This window comes from Homo sapiens, chromosome 10 (assembly GCF_000001405.40).
Source record: "Homo sapiens chromosome 10, GRCh38.p14 Primary Assembly".
NCBI lineage: Eukaryota > Metazoa > Chordata > Mammalia > Primates > Hominidae > Homo > Homo sapiens.
In genome coordinates, this window is record NC_000010.11 from 106,766,348 (window position 1) to 106,782,878 (window position 16,531).

The window sequence follows — 16,531 nt, forward strand, 5'->3', positions numbered from 1 at the left end:
CTCACTGCTGTTCCTCCATCCTTTTTTAGCAAGAAAGAGATGGTACCTTAAGGACTTCATATAAATTCCTAATGCCAGGCCTGAGGCATCACAAATATCAAGTTCTTTTTTCCATCACCCTCAATAGGAAGAAAGAGAATCAGTCCAGAGAAAAATGCGGTCCTCAGAAGTATGTTCTGATGCTCTGGTTCCACAGCATAGGAGGGGGCCACGACCCATGCAAAGGGGAACCAAAATCTACAACACTTAAAAGGATTCCATAAACTTCACTAAGAGCTGACACAAGTCTTTAACTTGGCTGTTCCGTACAGAGAGCAGATAGTGAAAGAGCCATGATGCCCAATCCAGACCCCCACACCCAACCCTGCCCCAATAGATTTAAGTTTCTCAAAGAAAATGTTGTGTATTAGTGATATCACAGACAACCTACAGTAATGTGTAATATTTTGTGCACAGTGTTGTAGTGGCCTATGTTGTAGAGAAAAAGTTTGGAATTTGCAAAAGAATTCACAGCGGGCTTTGTAATACAATTAATATGTCTTAGAATGAAGACATGCAGAAAAAGTGTTCTAGGGGAATGGGTCAGTCTGTGCAAATAAACAGAGCAGCAAAACTCAGGGTGATGTTCTCACATTTCTTTGGTCAATAGCAAGAGACCCAGTTTGGCTGGGATACATAATAGAGTGAAGTGGAAGCTGGGGCTACAAAGAGAGCCTGGAACCAGGCTGGGTAGGTGCAATCTTACCAATACTTGTGGGGAGCTGATGTAGACTGGATCCAAATGTCATTAAGGTCAAAAGATAAGAGTATCAAAGCTGAACAGTCAGGCTTTGCTGATGAAGGCTGGGCAGGAATGATGGCCTATTGCTGGTTCCACCAATCTCTCCTACAGCTGGATTTATCAAATTTGTCACTGCCCATTCCCCAGCTGTCACTGAAGTCTGTCAAATGCCCTACAGTTGAGGGTGGTACTCTGAAGCTTGGAAGATTAGACTTACGGAACTAGAGCCGGTTGGGAAGGGAGGGCCAATATATGACTGTGGGCGAGTTTGATTTGTGAACACCTCCTGTGCATTCAGGTCTGGAGGTATATAGGAAAATGATAAGATAAAATCTTGGCCTTAAAGATTCTTATATATTTATTTATTTATTTATTTTTGAGACAGAGTTTCGCTCTGTTGTTCAGGTTGGAGTACAGTGGCGCCATCTCGGCTCACTGCAACCTCTGCCTCCAGGGTTCAAGAGATTCCCCTGCCTCAGCCTCCCCATTAGCTAGGATCACAGGCATGCACCACCACGCCCGGCTAATTTTTGTATTTTTAGTAGAGAGGGGTGGTTTCACGATGTTGACCAGGCTGGTCTCAAACTCATGACCTCAAGAGATCTGCCTGCCTTGGCCTCCTAAAGTGCTGAGATTACAGGCATGAGCCACCACGCCCGGCCCCTTAAAGGTTCTTAAAGACAAGCGTTGGTGGCATAGAACAGATGAAGAACTAGCTAAAAATTTGGACAAACAAATACCTCTCTTTCAAAGCCTACAAAACTATTAAATAGCACAATTGTGCCTGTTCAAATCTTAAACCCAATTGCTTGTTTTAAAATGTTCATTTCTCCTTATTCTTGTAGCTCTATTTTTTTTTCCCGAAATCATTAGAAACAGGCAAATCAAACTGTTCCAGGTAGCAATTGAAAAATAATGATACAACCTGTTTAAACACAGTATCTAAGGTGAACGTAGTAGGCCTTCCTTGTTTGCATATGATGGCATTTCAGCTTGAGAATTCGTTTTATAAACAAGTGTTGGGGTTGACATTTAGCGAGCTCCCTGGTTTCCACTCTAATTGCCAGTTTTGTACTTGGATACTTAAATTACTCACATATTCATGAGGTTAGAAATCAGATCTGACACTGGGAAATTTCAAGCACATGAAAATCCTGCCAAACCAGCATGGTATATAATGCTCAACATATTTCTTATAAAAAACTGAGTGCCTTTTAACTTAATGCAGTGCCTTGGGGAAACATGATGGCATTAGGTAGATATCAGTTTCCTAAGTGTTTGTGCTTGTGCAGAAATCATTTGAATATCCCCAGGGGGTTGAATTTCAAGGATCAATTTGTCTTTATCTCAATCTTGCCCTTTTGACATTAAGGGGCTGCTAGGTCTATTAAAAAACAAATAGAGTTAATGTGAAGATAAATACTTTAATATTTAATGGTTTTCTATTGTTATAATCAATAATATTTCTAAGTACCACATATCTGTCGGTCCTGTTCCATTCATTCTGCTTCCATGGGACCTTTTAGTGATTGTCTAAAAAGGCATTTAAATTAAATTGATTAAAGTGCCTGTAGCTCTGCGTACTGGAAAGGCACAGGGATAAGACAGCCTCTGCCTAAGACATGCTTTGTCTAATTCCAGCTGCACCACACCAGGGGTGCTTTCTTTCAGGTCTTTGGATAATACACTGGCTGGCATCTATGCCATGTTTGCTATGTGTCAGGCTCTGTGTTCATATTTTGCATGCGTTATCTCAGTATCATCAAATAGTCCCATGAGCCAGGTACTCTTATTATTGTTCCCACTTTACAGTTGGAGAAACTACATTTAAACGACCTGTTGAAGGTCACAGAGCAGGGGTAGGACGTGACAGAGCAGAGAGCTGATCCTCTTACCAGCTCACTCTACTGTCGGTCAGTGGTGAGAAACCTTAGTATGACTGAGATTTTGAAAGCGCTGGCATCTATTTCTTTATTAAGTAGTCAATATTTCCCAGGGAATGTCTGCCATTGAAAGCAGCCATGATAAGTATTGCCCTTCTGTGAAGGCTCACTCAGGAAAAGAAAGGAACAATTGGCTGGGAGCGGTGGCTCACGCTTGTAATCCCAGCACTTTGGGAGGCTGAGGCAGGCAGATCACAAGGTCAGGAGTTTGAGGCCAGCCTGGCCAACACAGTGAAGCCCCGTCTCTACTAAAAAATACAAAAATTAGCCGGGCGTGGGGGCGGGTGCCAGTAATCCCAGCTACTTGGGAGGCTGAGGCAGGAGAATCGCTTGAAGCCAGGAGGCGGAGGTTACAGTGAGCTGAGATCGCGCCATTGCACTCCAGCCTGGGTGACAGAGCTAGACTCCGTCTCAAAAAAAAAAAAAAAAAGAAAGAAAGAAAGGAACAATTAAAAGGAATAAAGAGAAGATTTTTTGTTTATAGATATGTTTATAGATATACATGTAGAATAGATATGAAACTTTAAAAACATTGCAGGACTGGTAGAGAGAGAAAGAAGGCAGAGAACTAAAATTAGTTCTTTTTTAATAAAATTCACTTTTATGCATGTTACTAAAATTCTGTCATTGGCTGTTCATCACATTGGCAGTCCATTTTTCCTTTTCTATCACCATATGATTTTAACTGAAAGTCAGCCTTCATTTCTGAAGAGAATGCCAGCTGTTAATATTTAGAGTTTCCAGCCAGGCACAGGGCTCACGCCTGTAATCCCAGCACTTTCAGAGGCCGAGGCGGATCACTTGAGGCCAGGAGTTCGAGACCAGCCTGGCCAACATGGTCAAACCCAGTCTCTACTAAAAAAATGCAAAAATTAGACAGGCATGGTGGCAGGTGCCTGTAATCCCAGCTATGCGGGAAGCTGAGGCAGGAGAATCGCTGGAACCCAGGAAGCAGAGGTTGCAGTGAGCCAAGATGACATCACTGCACTCCAGCCTGGGCAAGACAGTAAGACTGTCTCAAAAAAAGAAGAAAAAATTAGATTTTCCATTATTTGTAAACAGAACCTCCCTATCAAAGCCTGTTTTCTGCCTTTAAAAGTATGTTTTGGTATCTGACACATATGTACCAAAAAATGTTGAAGGGAAGGCCAACATACAGGCCTTAGGATTTTCTGTTTATTTCATAAACTGTGATCCTTTGGAATTTAAAGAAGATCAGGAATGAAGCAAGTTTTCCACATGTTCTTACTTGGACTCATAGAGCTCCAAAATAAGCGAGTCAATATAAACTTACAAATATTCTAGAACTGCCACAAAATAAAGGGTGGCCCACCAAACTGTCCTAAAAGTTTTATTCTCCCTCGACAAAACCGATCATTTATTTGAATGTACTTTTTTCAAAAAATCGCAAAAAAAAAAAAAAAATTAACATCTTCTCAAATAAAATCAAAAGAGAGACCCATGAACAAAGAAAAACAAAGATAATGGGAAAGAAGAAAGGACAACCACAGGGCAGCAGATGAGGTTTATTTGTCCTATGCAGTGCTTCTTTTTAAATTTCTGAGGTCATTGTTACACACATAAAAATAAGAAAACTTCACATTGAAAACAAAGCAGAATTACTTCTCTCAAAAAAAGAAAGAATTCTGAAGGTCTGGTGACATTGGACCCACCTTCCTACATGGCAAGAACAGCAGGCTAGAGCTTGACAATATCCCTCCCTCCTTCTAAATGAACACCTGCTCTCCAACTTCCCACAGCCTGGACCCAGCCTGTTTTGTTCAGTTGTACTTCTTGCCTGTTTGTATAGGAACTGCGTTCATGCTCTACGTGGTCTTGAACGTCCACAAGGGTGGGAATTGCACAGGACAGGAGAAGAGCAGCCCTTCCTGCTCCTGGTAAGGGGCAGCAGGCCCTTCTCTGGAGCTACCTGAAGAAGAGGTCTGGATAAGGACAGCAAGGGGCCTCTGCTCTCCAGCCACTCAGCAGCAAGAGTCCTGACAGCGTTCATGTTGGTTTCACAACATGGCACTCTCCCCTTTACAAATCACGTCTCCGTTGCAAATCCTAACAGAGGCTCCAAGAGCCCTTACCCCGGCATAGACAGCAAAGCTGAGGTATACACAGATTCTTATACTTCTCTCCTGTTTTTTTTTTTTAAATTTCCTTACAGTCACATCTGCTCTTTGTTTTCTCTCATTTCAAATGTTTCCCAACACATCATGTTTAGTGAGGTGTTTAAGACAGACTGAGAGATGCCGTTGGAGGCAATGTTTTATAGCACAGTTTGTACACTAGTTTATTGCCAAATTGAAATAAAGATGTAATCTGGCAGGCTCAGCCTTCTGCTAAGCCTTCCTTGGGTGGTTTCCTGTATTGAGGCAAGAAAGTCAGCTAGCAATGAAGTAAAGGACTATATCTCCTTTCTCTTATCTGCTCAGTTTCCAAATGCAAAGAATTTTTTTAAATGGGTAGAATGCTTGGTTTGCCTACTGTTTAAATTATAGAAATAAAAAAAGTAAATTAATAAAAGAAAGCAACATTTTGGTGCTCCTATAATAAATGCCATGGAATTCTTCATACTTTCCACAAGGATTCATTGTTTTAAAAATGTGAGGGGTGGGATTGTAGACACCAAGTAGCCCCCTGTCCATTTGAAACAGAATCTCTATAATTGTATCTATAATGTTCCTTTTTCTGAAGATTTCAGGGCTTTCCAAAGGCACATCCTCACATAGGCCCTTCAGAGGCCAAGTCCAGCTCCTATGTCTTTACTCGATAAGTCTCAGGGCAGGGTTTCCTATGAACGCAGGCTACTTATTTAAGAATTTCAATGGGTAAAAGGCTCCACACATTTTCCTTTCAGTCATTCTAGTGGTGCCTGGATAGCCACATCCCCAGACAAGATAGCATTTACCTCTTGGCAACTATGATGGTGGTCAATTTTATGTGTCGACTTGGCTAAGAGATGCCCAAAGAGCTGATAAAACTTATCTGGGTATATCTGTAAGGGTTTTTTTAGAAGACATTAGTGCCTAAATCAGTAGGCTGAGAAAATCCACCCTCTCCAGTGTGGGCAAGCATCATCCAATCCTTGGAGGTGTTGAATAGAAAAGGCAGAGGGAGGGTGAATTCCCTCTTTCTTTTTGAGCTGGGATATCCATCTGTCTCCCCTGGCCCTCAGACATCAGAGTTCCTGGTTCTCAGGACTTTGGACTTGGACCAGGACTTACACCATTGGTTCCACCCCCAACCAATTCTCAGGCCTTCAAACTTGGACTGAATTATACCACTGGCATTCTTGGTTGTCCAGCTTGCAGATGGCAGATCTTGGGACTTATAAGCCTCCACAATTACATGAGTAAATTCCCATAATCAATCAATCAATCAATCAATCAATCTCTCTCTCTCTCTCTCTCCCCTCCTCTCTCTCTCTCCTCCCCTTATTGGTTCTGTTTCTTTGGAGAATCCTTAATAATACAACCACCTAGATGTTGAATATCACAAATAGATTTCTCCTTCTAAGTAAAAACAAAAAATATCAAAAACCTTGGTTTGTGAATTCTGAGGACATTTGGCCATACACATTCTTCCCTGATTAAAACCACCTTTTAAAATCTTAATATGACCTCCCATAGGACTGATATCCAGTAAAATTCTATCTTGGACCAGAAAGGAACACCTGTTCAACAAAACTCTTTGAGTCCCTTATAATGCCCACATCAAAAAGCCTCCACTGGGATTTAGGCACCCAAAATGAAACACAATTAGAGCAGGGTACCGCAGCTCATATACGGTCTATCCTGCAGGCCGGAGCTCCAAACTCTGTCCTTAGGAGCTTAAAAGTCACATGCACTGAAGGAGAGAAAAAGCAATGTCAGGGAGATAAGGGGAAAATAAATGTGGCTATGTGTTCAAAAGACGGAGAGTATGCCTTAAAAAAACAAGGAAGCCAGCAAATAAAGAAAAAGAGAAAAGAGGAGGACCCTGTTCATAGGAATTGCCACCTCAATAATGCATTTTCTAAGGGATTGTTCACCACAATTTGATGTAAAACAGCATCCAGCAGAGATAATACTAAGTAAGATCCTAGCTGGGAGATCTGCAGCAGTGACATTAGCAGCTGTCACAGAAAAACTGATGAGCAATACTTACATGAAAGAATAAATGTTCCTGTTTCCTAGGCAAGGGCAGTCACTGGCCAGCCAACACCAGCACATGGTCCTCCTTGTTGCCACACATCTCATCAGTGCTAAAAGTTCCACGACCCATGGGGGACTGTCAGCTTTTATTTCCGTATCACTGACCCACCTGAGTGGCCACAGACCCTCTCAACTTGACTTCCAGCCAATGCCATCAGCTAACGGCTGCGGCTCACTCCCTTCCAGCGAATGCCCCACTCCCTATTCTGTGATTCAAGCCTTGAGATACGGAGGTCTTCTCTGATTCCTACTTGTAGAGCTGGCTATCCATGATGTGTTTTTTCCAGTATGATTTATCCTTCATCCTCTCTTAAAGAAACAGAGAGGTCAGTAGAAAGCCTGGCTCTTTCCCATCTGTTCATCTCAAAATATCACCTTCAAAAACGAGAACCCTGGCTGGGCGTGGTGGCTCATGTCCGTAATCCCAGCACTTTGGGAGGCCAAGGTGGGTGGATCACAAGGTCAGGAGTTTGAGACCAGCCTGGCCAACAAGGCGAAACCCCGTCTCTACTAAAGATACAAAAAATTAGCCAGGCGTGGTGGCACACACCTGTAATCCCAGCTACTTGGGAGGCTGAGGCAGGAGAATCGCCTGAACCCTGGAGGCAGAGATTGCAGTGAGCCCAGATTGCGCCATTGCACTCCAGCCTGGGTGACAGGGCAAGACTCCATCTCAAAAAAAAAAAGAATGAGAACACTATCAAACGTCAGGTAGCCCCTTACCCCATTTGTAGAATATCCACATGTGATACCAATTAGTGATTTTTCCCTTTGAGAAAATGTGTTAACCTCTTAGATATTTAGATCCTTGGCCTCATACAGAAAAACAACAACAAATAAATGAAGACTGCTTCCAACTTTAAAATGACAGGATTCATTGGGTCTGTGGTCACAAAGGGTACCTTTTGGTTCTTACCCTTAGCATCTGATGCCAGGACTGCTGTAATATCATCCCAACTGGTCTTGTTTTTGACCTCATATTACCACAGTTTATACTGATATTACTACTGATTAACGCTTGAAATCTATAGCCCTAAACATATCATTCTCTGGATGCAAATTTCTGAAGGCTCCTAATTAAGGAAACAAAAATTAGTTTTCCTAAAAATCAAACAGCCAAAACAGTGAAAAATAATAAGGATTAGGTTCCAAAGTGTGTGTGTGTGTGTGTGTGTGTGTGTGTGTAAATTATAACTAGCTATAACAAATTTTAGTTTCAGCCAAATAGAAAAATTTGCAATTTTGTAAATGTGATTTTTACAATTTCATGTATATGACATTCCTGTTGTAAAAAATTGGCCTCCCCTACTGTTACAATAGAAATCCGACATATCCATTAAAGTCCAGCTGAAGTCATTTTGTAAGACTTCTAGAGTAGACAGATCACTAGATCTCTATCTCCTGAACTTTGAGCTACCAATTTAATGTAATTCATCCAGTCCCTTGTATATAATATTCAGTGACAGCACTGCCTTTGTGGCCTCTCTTAAACTATTGGTCAACTCATATGTGTTAATCATCTATCTCCAGATGGATAGAATATTGTTATTTTATATCAACACTGTATCATGCATGGCACTTAAAAGAGATGTGGCATCTAACATTTGTTTCTTTTTAAATCACTTTGGAAGGGTACCTACAATTATAATTATCCATACAAACACATTTTAACGCAAAGGAAACCAACGCTAAATACTATTCACCATAAGTAGCTGGGATGAAGTCACAGCCCAGGCATCCTAACTGGTCTTGTATCATCCACTCTGCCACAGTGACCATGGGAGGCACTCTTTGAAGTGCTGGGAACGAAAGGGTTACATATTTGGGCATCTCCTCCAGCATAACTGCAAAGATGCAAAGCTTTTACTTAGGCAGGTAAATCTGGTCCTCGCTGTGCCTCTGGCATCGGTGGGGGGGAATTAACCAACTGTCGAATAAAATGTAACAACCCTGTGGATTAAATGACTAATACTCTGTCTGAGCTGGTCAGGCTTCGCCTCTGTTAATTGCACCATCCTGGACCAGATGCACTGTGGCTTGACTCCAGAAACAAAATTGTACATTCTGCTGAAAGGGTAGCCAGGCTGCTCAACAGGAAAAAAAAATGAATTGTAAATTCTTTCTATTTTTAGGATTAATGTGCATTTTATTTGGCAGTAGGGGCAGCATGAATAAAACTCCAATCTTAAGAATTTTAATTTGCTTCCTTTAAAATGCTCCTGTCAGTAGAGACCTTGGGAAGTTGCTCATACCATTCTCCTACCTTCAAAAATGCCACATATCTATGCAAACCCAGACAAATGAAACCCCAGAATATTCACCTCACTTAGTTAAGTCCAGTATTTCTTTAAATTTATATAATTTCTAATTCATGATCCCTCTAAGGAGAATTCTCAGAATGACTTCACTGCATAATGCATTTCACAAGGAGTATTCTAGTATTTCACCAATTATCCCTCTGGTTTTTATGGCCAGAGTCTCTCTCACATTTGCCTGTGTAAATGCTGTTTCTTTTCATTTTAATTTAATTTTATTAGCTATTGCTAGCCTTTTATTCTACCTGAGAAAGCAAGTTCCTTAAAGGCAGGGACCATATGTATGTTATAGTATATATGTCGTATAGAGTACATAATATATATTATAGGATGACATTTTATGGGTCATATGCACATATACACACACACAGCTAATACCATGAGCTCATTTAATCCTTTCTTACGAAGTGGACTTCTTCAACTTTACCACCAAGTGAAGAAAAGTTCTGAGATGACTAGGTTCTGCATAAGGTTACCTATATACATCATTATTGTTCCTCTGGCCATTTCTCTCAGTGTTTTAGAACAACCCTGCTTCGTGTTCTTAAACTTTTCAGGGTTATGCTTCCCTTTAAGAGTTTGAGAAAAGCCATGGGTCTTTCACCAAGAGAAATGATCACCAATCCACAAACATAAGACACTGTCTCCAATTCAGTGGGGGTCAGAGGCTCCTGACTGCCTTAAGCATCTATGCTGAGAACTGCTTCTCCACCATGTCTTACTTAGTACACCTAATCTTTATTTGGTAAGTGGTTTCAGATATTTACATGATTTAAACAAGCAACCTGAGACTCTCCTTGCTTTCCCTTGTCCCATTAGCACAGAGGTCAGGCTACTGCTCAGAACAAAAATGATCACTGAGGTGAAATGGAGAGATGATTAAATTAGCACTATTTTCCCCGGAGAACCATGCTTCATTGTCTCAAACAAGGTAAGTATGCTCACCTTTTGGTCTTGACTGTATGCCAGAATCCAGTCTTCTTGTTTGGGGTGAAAAAGCAAGCTTTGAATGTAGAAGTTCAGCCGGTACTTTTGATAAGTTGCCCCTTCATCTGAGCTGATCAATAAACTGCTCTCAATCTCCGGGTCTGTGAGTAACATTATCTGCAGCAAAGAATTGTTGGAGAAAGAAACAACAGAAAATTAAGTTTACAAATTTGCAAAACTTGAAAATTAGCTAATTTTTGACAAGGGAAGGACAGGGGCAGGCAAAGAATGCTTGGCCAAACAGGGACCTTGACTCTGTCAGGATTATTTTTCCATCTTGGATCAATGCTACAGAAATATTTCTACAAAGAAATGAAGGGAGTAGGAGAAGCTGGAAGAACGAGGGATGAAATAGATAACTGTATTCTCTTCTCTTTTAGGGGACTCTTTGTTTTATTTCCAAGGTTATTTCCTGAACCTGGAACACTTACCCTTCTTCCCTTCTTCCTACTGTGCCTTATGCACTTTCCATTTTGGGGGATTAACAGACTGGTTATAGTCTGCTGTGGGAAAAGTGGAAGAGAAAGAGGATGGAGTCCATTGTTTTTCTTCCCTACCTCGAATCTTTTCATTCCACTTCAATGATTTCCTACGCCATCCAAACTTAGCCTGATTTTCTGAGTCTTAAGTCAGTCTAGGCTCTAAAGCTTTCTCTAGGAATTTCACAAAGGCTATTTTACCCCACCACCCTCATCACCTTCTAGCCTACTATATAATTTACTTATTTATTTTGTTTCTTGTCTATATAACCTCTACTAAAAAATAAACCCTGTGCGAACAGAGATAGCTGTCTGTATAGTTCACAGATGAATTCCCAGCAGCTAGACTAAGGTCCAGTATGCATGGTACACTGATAAATATTTGTCGAATGAATGAATAAATGAATGCATAGAAAGATGCCCAGAACACTCTGAGATATGGATGGAAGCTTCACAACTTCTAAGTCTACATGACTCTCTAAAACTCTCTGAAAGAAAAGTTGGTTGCTCTGCACAGTCTGCACCACAGAAGAAGCTATAAATACGTAAAAATTCACAGCTTCAGACGTTTTACACTGTCTCATTGGGATGCCCAATTTTGTCCAGAGCAATGGGATCAATCACAATAGCAGCAAGATGGAGGAGCTGCCTTCGAAACTGCCTTAAATCCTCATTTTATGCCTTCACGAATGTGTGATAAATTACTTCATTCCCAACTCTCTGTGGGTCTTTCATTCAAAGTGTGCACCTAATGTCTCCAGACAGGTGGCCTTAATGCTACCCGTTGACCTCTTCCCCATCAACTTATTAATTGGTACTTTCTGAATTTGGTTCAGGGAAGCATGAAATATGTGTTTAATGTGTTGCTGTATGAAAAGAAATCACTGCAGCCCAAGGATTAAAGATTACCAGCTGAGGATGCTGCACTTCCAAGAAAGAGAGAGAGAGGGGAATAGAATCATATCTTAAAAGAGCAGAGTGCCAGGCAAACACATGGAGCTTTCTCAAGCATTTGGAGGCAATCATATTAAAGCCTCTGAACAGTTAGTGTCATCTTTGAAAGTGGTGTCCTGTCACTGTAAATGGCACAAAAGGATTGCATGCCAGACACTCTGCCCAAACTCTGTTTATGCTATCCAGGACGAATTTAAGGTTCCTTGCTGTTCTTTCAACCTCCCCTTCTTGAAGAGGAGAAAAGGGATGTAATGGGGTGAAGGCAATGCTGTTGCTATCAGCTACACTCCCGACAAGATGAAAAGCGCACACAAAACTGAAGACTAATTGCCTCTTGTACCATGTTCCAGGAAAGCCACTGCCCACCAACCATAAATTCTGACAAAGTTATGGATTTCTCTGTCTCACATTCACCAAGCAGACGGCGTTCCCTCATCAGATGGCCGACAAGGAGCCATCAGGTAATCTACGAAGTATAAACTCATATGGCTTCATTAAAATCTAGTGTATGCATTAAGCAAGTACATTTAGATGGCTCCTAAATTCACAGGAATATTTCCAAGTGAGTTCATATTTATGAATACATAAAACCTGTCATTTTTTGAATAACAAATAAGCCATCAAATGATCATATTGTTTTGTGTCTCCAATCACAATTAACAATAATGTAAAACAACCTTTTTGCACTACTGCCGAAAAGTCATTTCCATGATAATATGAAGAAGCTCAATTTTATAGAACATCTATTGTCTCAGGCAAGGTGATTCCCTTCCCCACTCTGATTTTCTAGTTCCCTGTTAGCCAGAATATGCTTTCCTCTTTTCCCATGAGTATAGATCTCCCCACCTGCTTCTCCTGGCAGAATACTTAATCAAAATAAAATTAAACACAATTACAAACTAGGCCTACAGAATATTCCCAAAGCAAGCTGATTTTTATCAATCACTTTAAAGTATTTTTGATACCCATTTATGCTCCACGTGATCAGACTGCATAAGACATCCTGTATCAGGTAATATTGGGTGCGAGTGGCAGAGTAACGCACATATTTCCCAACAGATGGAAACTTAATATTATAAAAATAAAGCGACTCGTATCTTTGGCTTTTTTTCTGGATGTTGAAAATAGGCAGACCAAAATCCCACCTTCTCTATGCAGCCCTCACCTAAAACTCTCCATCTGAGAATTTGACATTTTGGAAATAATGGGAAATAGAAATTTCCCGGTGAGCTTTATAGGTATGTCTGTACTACAGAAACATTCCAGTGGCTGCTCTCTTAAATTTCTGTTCAATTCTACTCAGAACAAACAGGTCAATCTGGATCCATTTTTCATTAGTTATTTTTCTTATTGCAGAAACAACTCCATAAGACCTCTGGTAGAATTCAAAAGAAAAAGAAAACAAACTCATGACCCTATCATTGCAAGTTAAACCATGTTTGTGTTTCTTTCTACTTCTTTATCCACATCTCTATATCCTATTGTGGATTGAGGATTTTATTCTGGTTTTTTCTTTTAAGTTTGACATTATGGCCCATATTTTTTTTTTTTTTTTTTTTGAGACAAGAGTATCGCTCTGTTGCCCAGGCTGTAATGCAGTGACACAATCTCAGCTCACTGCAACCTCTGCCCTCTGCCTCCTGGCTAATTTTTGTATTTTAGTAGAGATGGGGTTCGCCATGTTGGCTAGGCTGGTCTCGAACCCCTGACCTCAGGTGATCTGCCTGCCTCAGCCTCCCAAAGTGCTGGGATTACAGGCATGAACCACTGTGCCCAGCCCCCCAAATATTCATTTTTAACTGAGCCATAGACACACAAATGCACACACGTTAACACACATGACTGTATAATGTACTCCAATTAATCACAACCTTCAAATTAATTAAATTATGATTGTTGTAATGACTGAAACATAGTATGTACCTAATTGTTAATTGAATAAGTAAAATCTTATTATTTTAGTCTTAAATTCAAATTCTTTAATAATTTTGCTTCAAATGAATTGATGTTTGTCCTACCATTTTATCAGTAATAAAATATAAATAAGCTAATAAGTAAAAAATTTAATGCGATCTAAATAAAAAAGCCTTAACATACTTGAGAAACAAACACTGAAAATAATAAATATGATCCAGTCTTTAGACATAGATGATATTGTTCATAAATGAATAAGTCATATCTTCTCACAAGATTTTCTGCTCAGAAATATTTTCAAAATAGTAAGTTCAAATTAGCAAATATTCTTCAAAAACAATAGATTACATTTCTTAAAGATGCCTAACAATCCCTATTTTTGCTAGTTTAGAATGACTCTTTATCCCCTTCTGACTCTTCATGTAACTTTGAACAAATAATGTTTTGTTGTGTTTACTTCTCTGTATTCTGGAGCATGTTCTGGACAACAGAATTTTAGCATGCCTTTGTAAAAGGCATGAATCCAAGCTTTGCAGATTCCTAAAGTAAGCTCTCCAAAAAGAGAGGTCATTGTCTGCCAGGATCAAAGCTTGTTCCATAGTAGGTCCACATACTGTTGTAAATGAATAAAGGAATGAATAAATGAATGAGTCCTTTTCATTCCTGCCTTCTGCTGCCTGCAGGCCAGGGGCCCCTGCAACACTGGGATTTCCAGTCCCCTTGAGCAAATCCTCGCTGTTCTACTTGAGGCAAGGAAGGTGAAGATAAGAGAAAGACACTGCCTTTATCAGGAAAGTAATTATTCCCTGTTCAGTTCCACCCATGAGTGATTAGAACCAGTTTACTTATGCCTTGCAGGGTGTGCCGACTGACTGCACCTGCAGATGAATTGTTTCCATAGAAAGTCAATAATGGCAACACAGGATCCTACCACCCAACTCCAAGCAATCATTCATCACCCACTTCAGAAGGAAGAAGAAACTTTATTTGCTTTTCCTAGAGTAGACAAATGAACATGAAATGCAATTTATAGATTTCAAATACGTCACTTCTCCTTTTTTTTTTTTTTGGTATTAGTCCTTCTGACAGCTCAGTGTCATCAAAAATTAAATGCACTTTCACTGTCTTTAGTTTGCTCCAGATTCAACATATGGCTACAGGAAGTAATTCTACAAAAGGTTGGCAGGCAGCTTTCTGATCCTTCCAGTTGTCGTCTCCTGCGGGCCTTCTTCCCAGAGGAATGCTGCTACTATTTAGTTTTCCAAATTCTTTTCCTAGATATGCTGTTCTTGGAATTCCACCATTTATTGGTTTATGTGGCGTGGAGTTAATAAAAAGTTCTTCACCACCTCCGGGCATATACTTTTTCGTACCATTTCTTTGGTCCTAATGGAAAAAGTATTTATTTTATATGTTGTTCATTATTTGTTGGCTCATTTGTCTATTCTTTGTCATAAATGGGCTGGAATCAAGCAGAGGTAATGGGCTGCTGTGTGGATATCTCTTTTGCTTTACTCAGAGCTTAATTCAGCTCCAGATGCCCATATCACAGGTGCATAATAAATGCTTTTCATAATGATAATGACAACAGCAAAGAAAAACAGCAACAGCAGCAATTAGGCACTCCAGTTATCTACTGCTACCCACTTTATTCAAACAGAAATATTTCTCTCTATAAACAGAATAAAAGTCTATTTGCAAACCTCTGATCTCAAAATTAAAATCAAATTAAGCAAAATGTAATCAGAGAAAGTAAGTCATCTGCTGACCAATGAGGGTGGAAAAGCTACCTATTCTCAATGAGGGCTGAGTACTTATCCTTCCCAGATGAGCTGAGGGAAAGAGCAATTAAGTGCTTATCAATTGGCAACTATTTGGAGGACAGTGTTAGGGAAAGTTGAACAGGATCCCAGAATGAACCATGGAAAGAAAATCACAGAAATACAAACAGTGAAGGAAGGGGAGGAAGGGGATTAAAAAGAAAAAAGCTCAAATCAAGCACACACTGATAGAAATGAGTCAAATCAAGCACACACTGATAGAAATGAGTCTGTAAGAAGATGGAAATGACACAACCAATTTTCCTAAATCCCATCCTTCCAAACTCAGCGAAGCTTACCTATGTGCCATCTTTGTTTATTAGCACAAAATCGCGTCATTCAATACTGAGATGAACAGAACATTTAGGCAACAGACTGTCTGCTTGTGACCTGGAAAGTGATTCAGTGAAATGACTGGGAAACTATGGCATTGTATTTTAAAGAGTTTATTCTGTCCTTTTGATTTCAAACTGGTTTTCTAATGAGGATCCACAGACTCAGATTTTTTAACGGAAAAAAACAAGCATAAAAAACATTTTTTAAGACAAGATCTTGCTCTGTCGCCCCGGCTGGAGTGCAGTTGAATGATCACAGCCTCAAACTCCTGGGCTCAAGGGATCCTCCCATCTCGGCCTCCCAAAACACTCAGATTATAGGCATGAGCCACCATGTAAGGCTGGGAAGAAACATTTTTTTAAGGAGCATGTAATTTCAGTCCTTCATATGTGTGTTAATTGCCTTGTCAGGAGACCCAACCCATTAATTATTATTTGTAACAATAATGAGGAGTCATTCAGTACCTCTTGGCCAATTCCACAGAGTACATAGAAGATGAGTAAGGTTTATCAGGAATGACAACATATGAGTTACAGTCCTTGGAAGATGATTCAAAAAAGAAAACGTATAGGACATCTCTTCTTATTTCACTTGGGACTACTGAACATAGTCTTCTCCTTTGAGACAATTTAGAGAAACCCAAACGTACAAACACTATTTTACTGTAAGAATCTGCTTCCACCATTGTGAATGGCACTGAACTTCTATAAAGGAAATATATGTCCACGTATATATTTCCATGGCGGGTTGATCCACAGGGCTGAGCATGGGGCTGGTGCACCACAGACTTCTGTTCCACA

General features: G+C 40.1%; 1 protein-coding gene across 16 annotated transcripts in view; it reads right to left on the reverse strand.

The window, feature by feature from the left end:
- Positions 1–16,531, reverse strand: part of SORCS1 (sortilin related VPS10 domain containing receptor 1) — a 607,476-nt gene that overhangs the window by 192,685 nt on the left and 398,260 nt on the right. For all 16 annotated transcript variants that reach the window (XM_017015617.1, XM_047424547.1, XM_017015615.3 and 13 more), the window contains exon 4: positions 10,187–10,345. In XM_017015617.1, the coding sequence (XP_016871106.1) occupies positions 10,187–10,345 (159 nt within the window). The remainder of the gene's footprint in view (positions 1–10,186; positions 10,346–16,531) is intronic.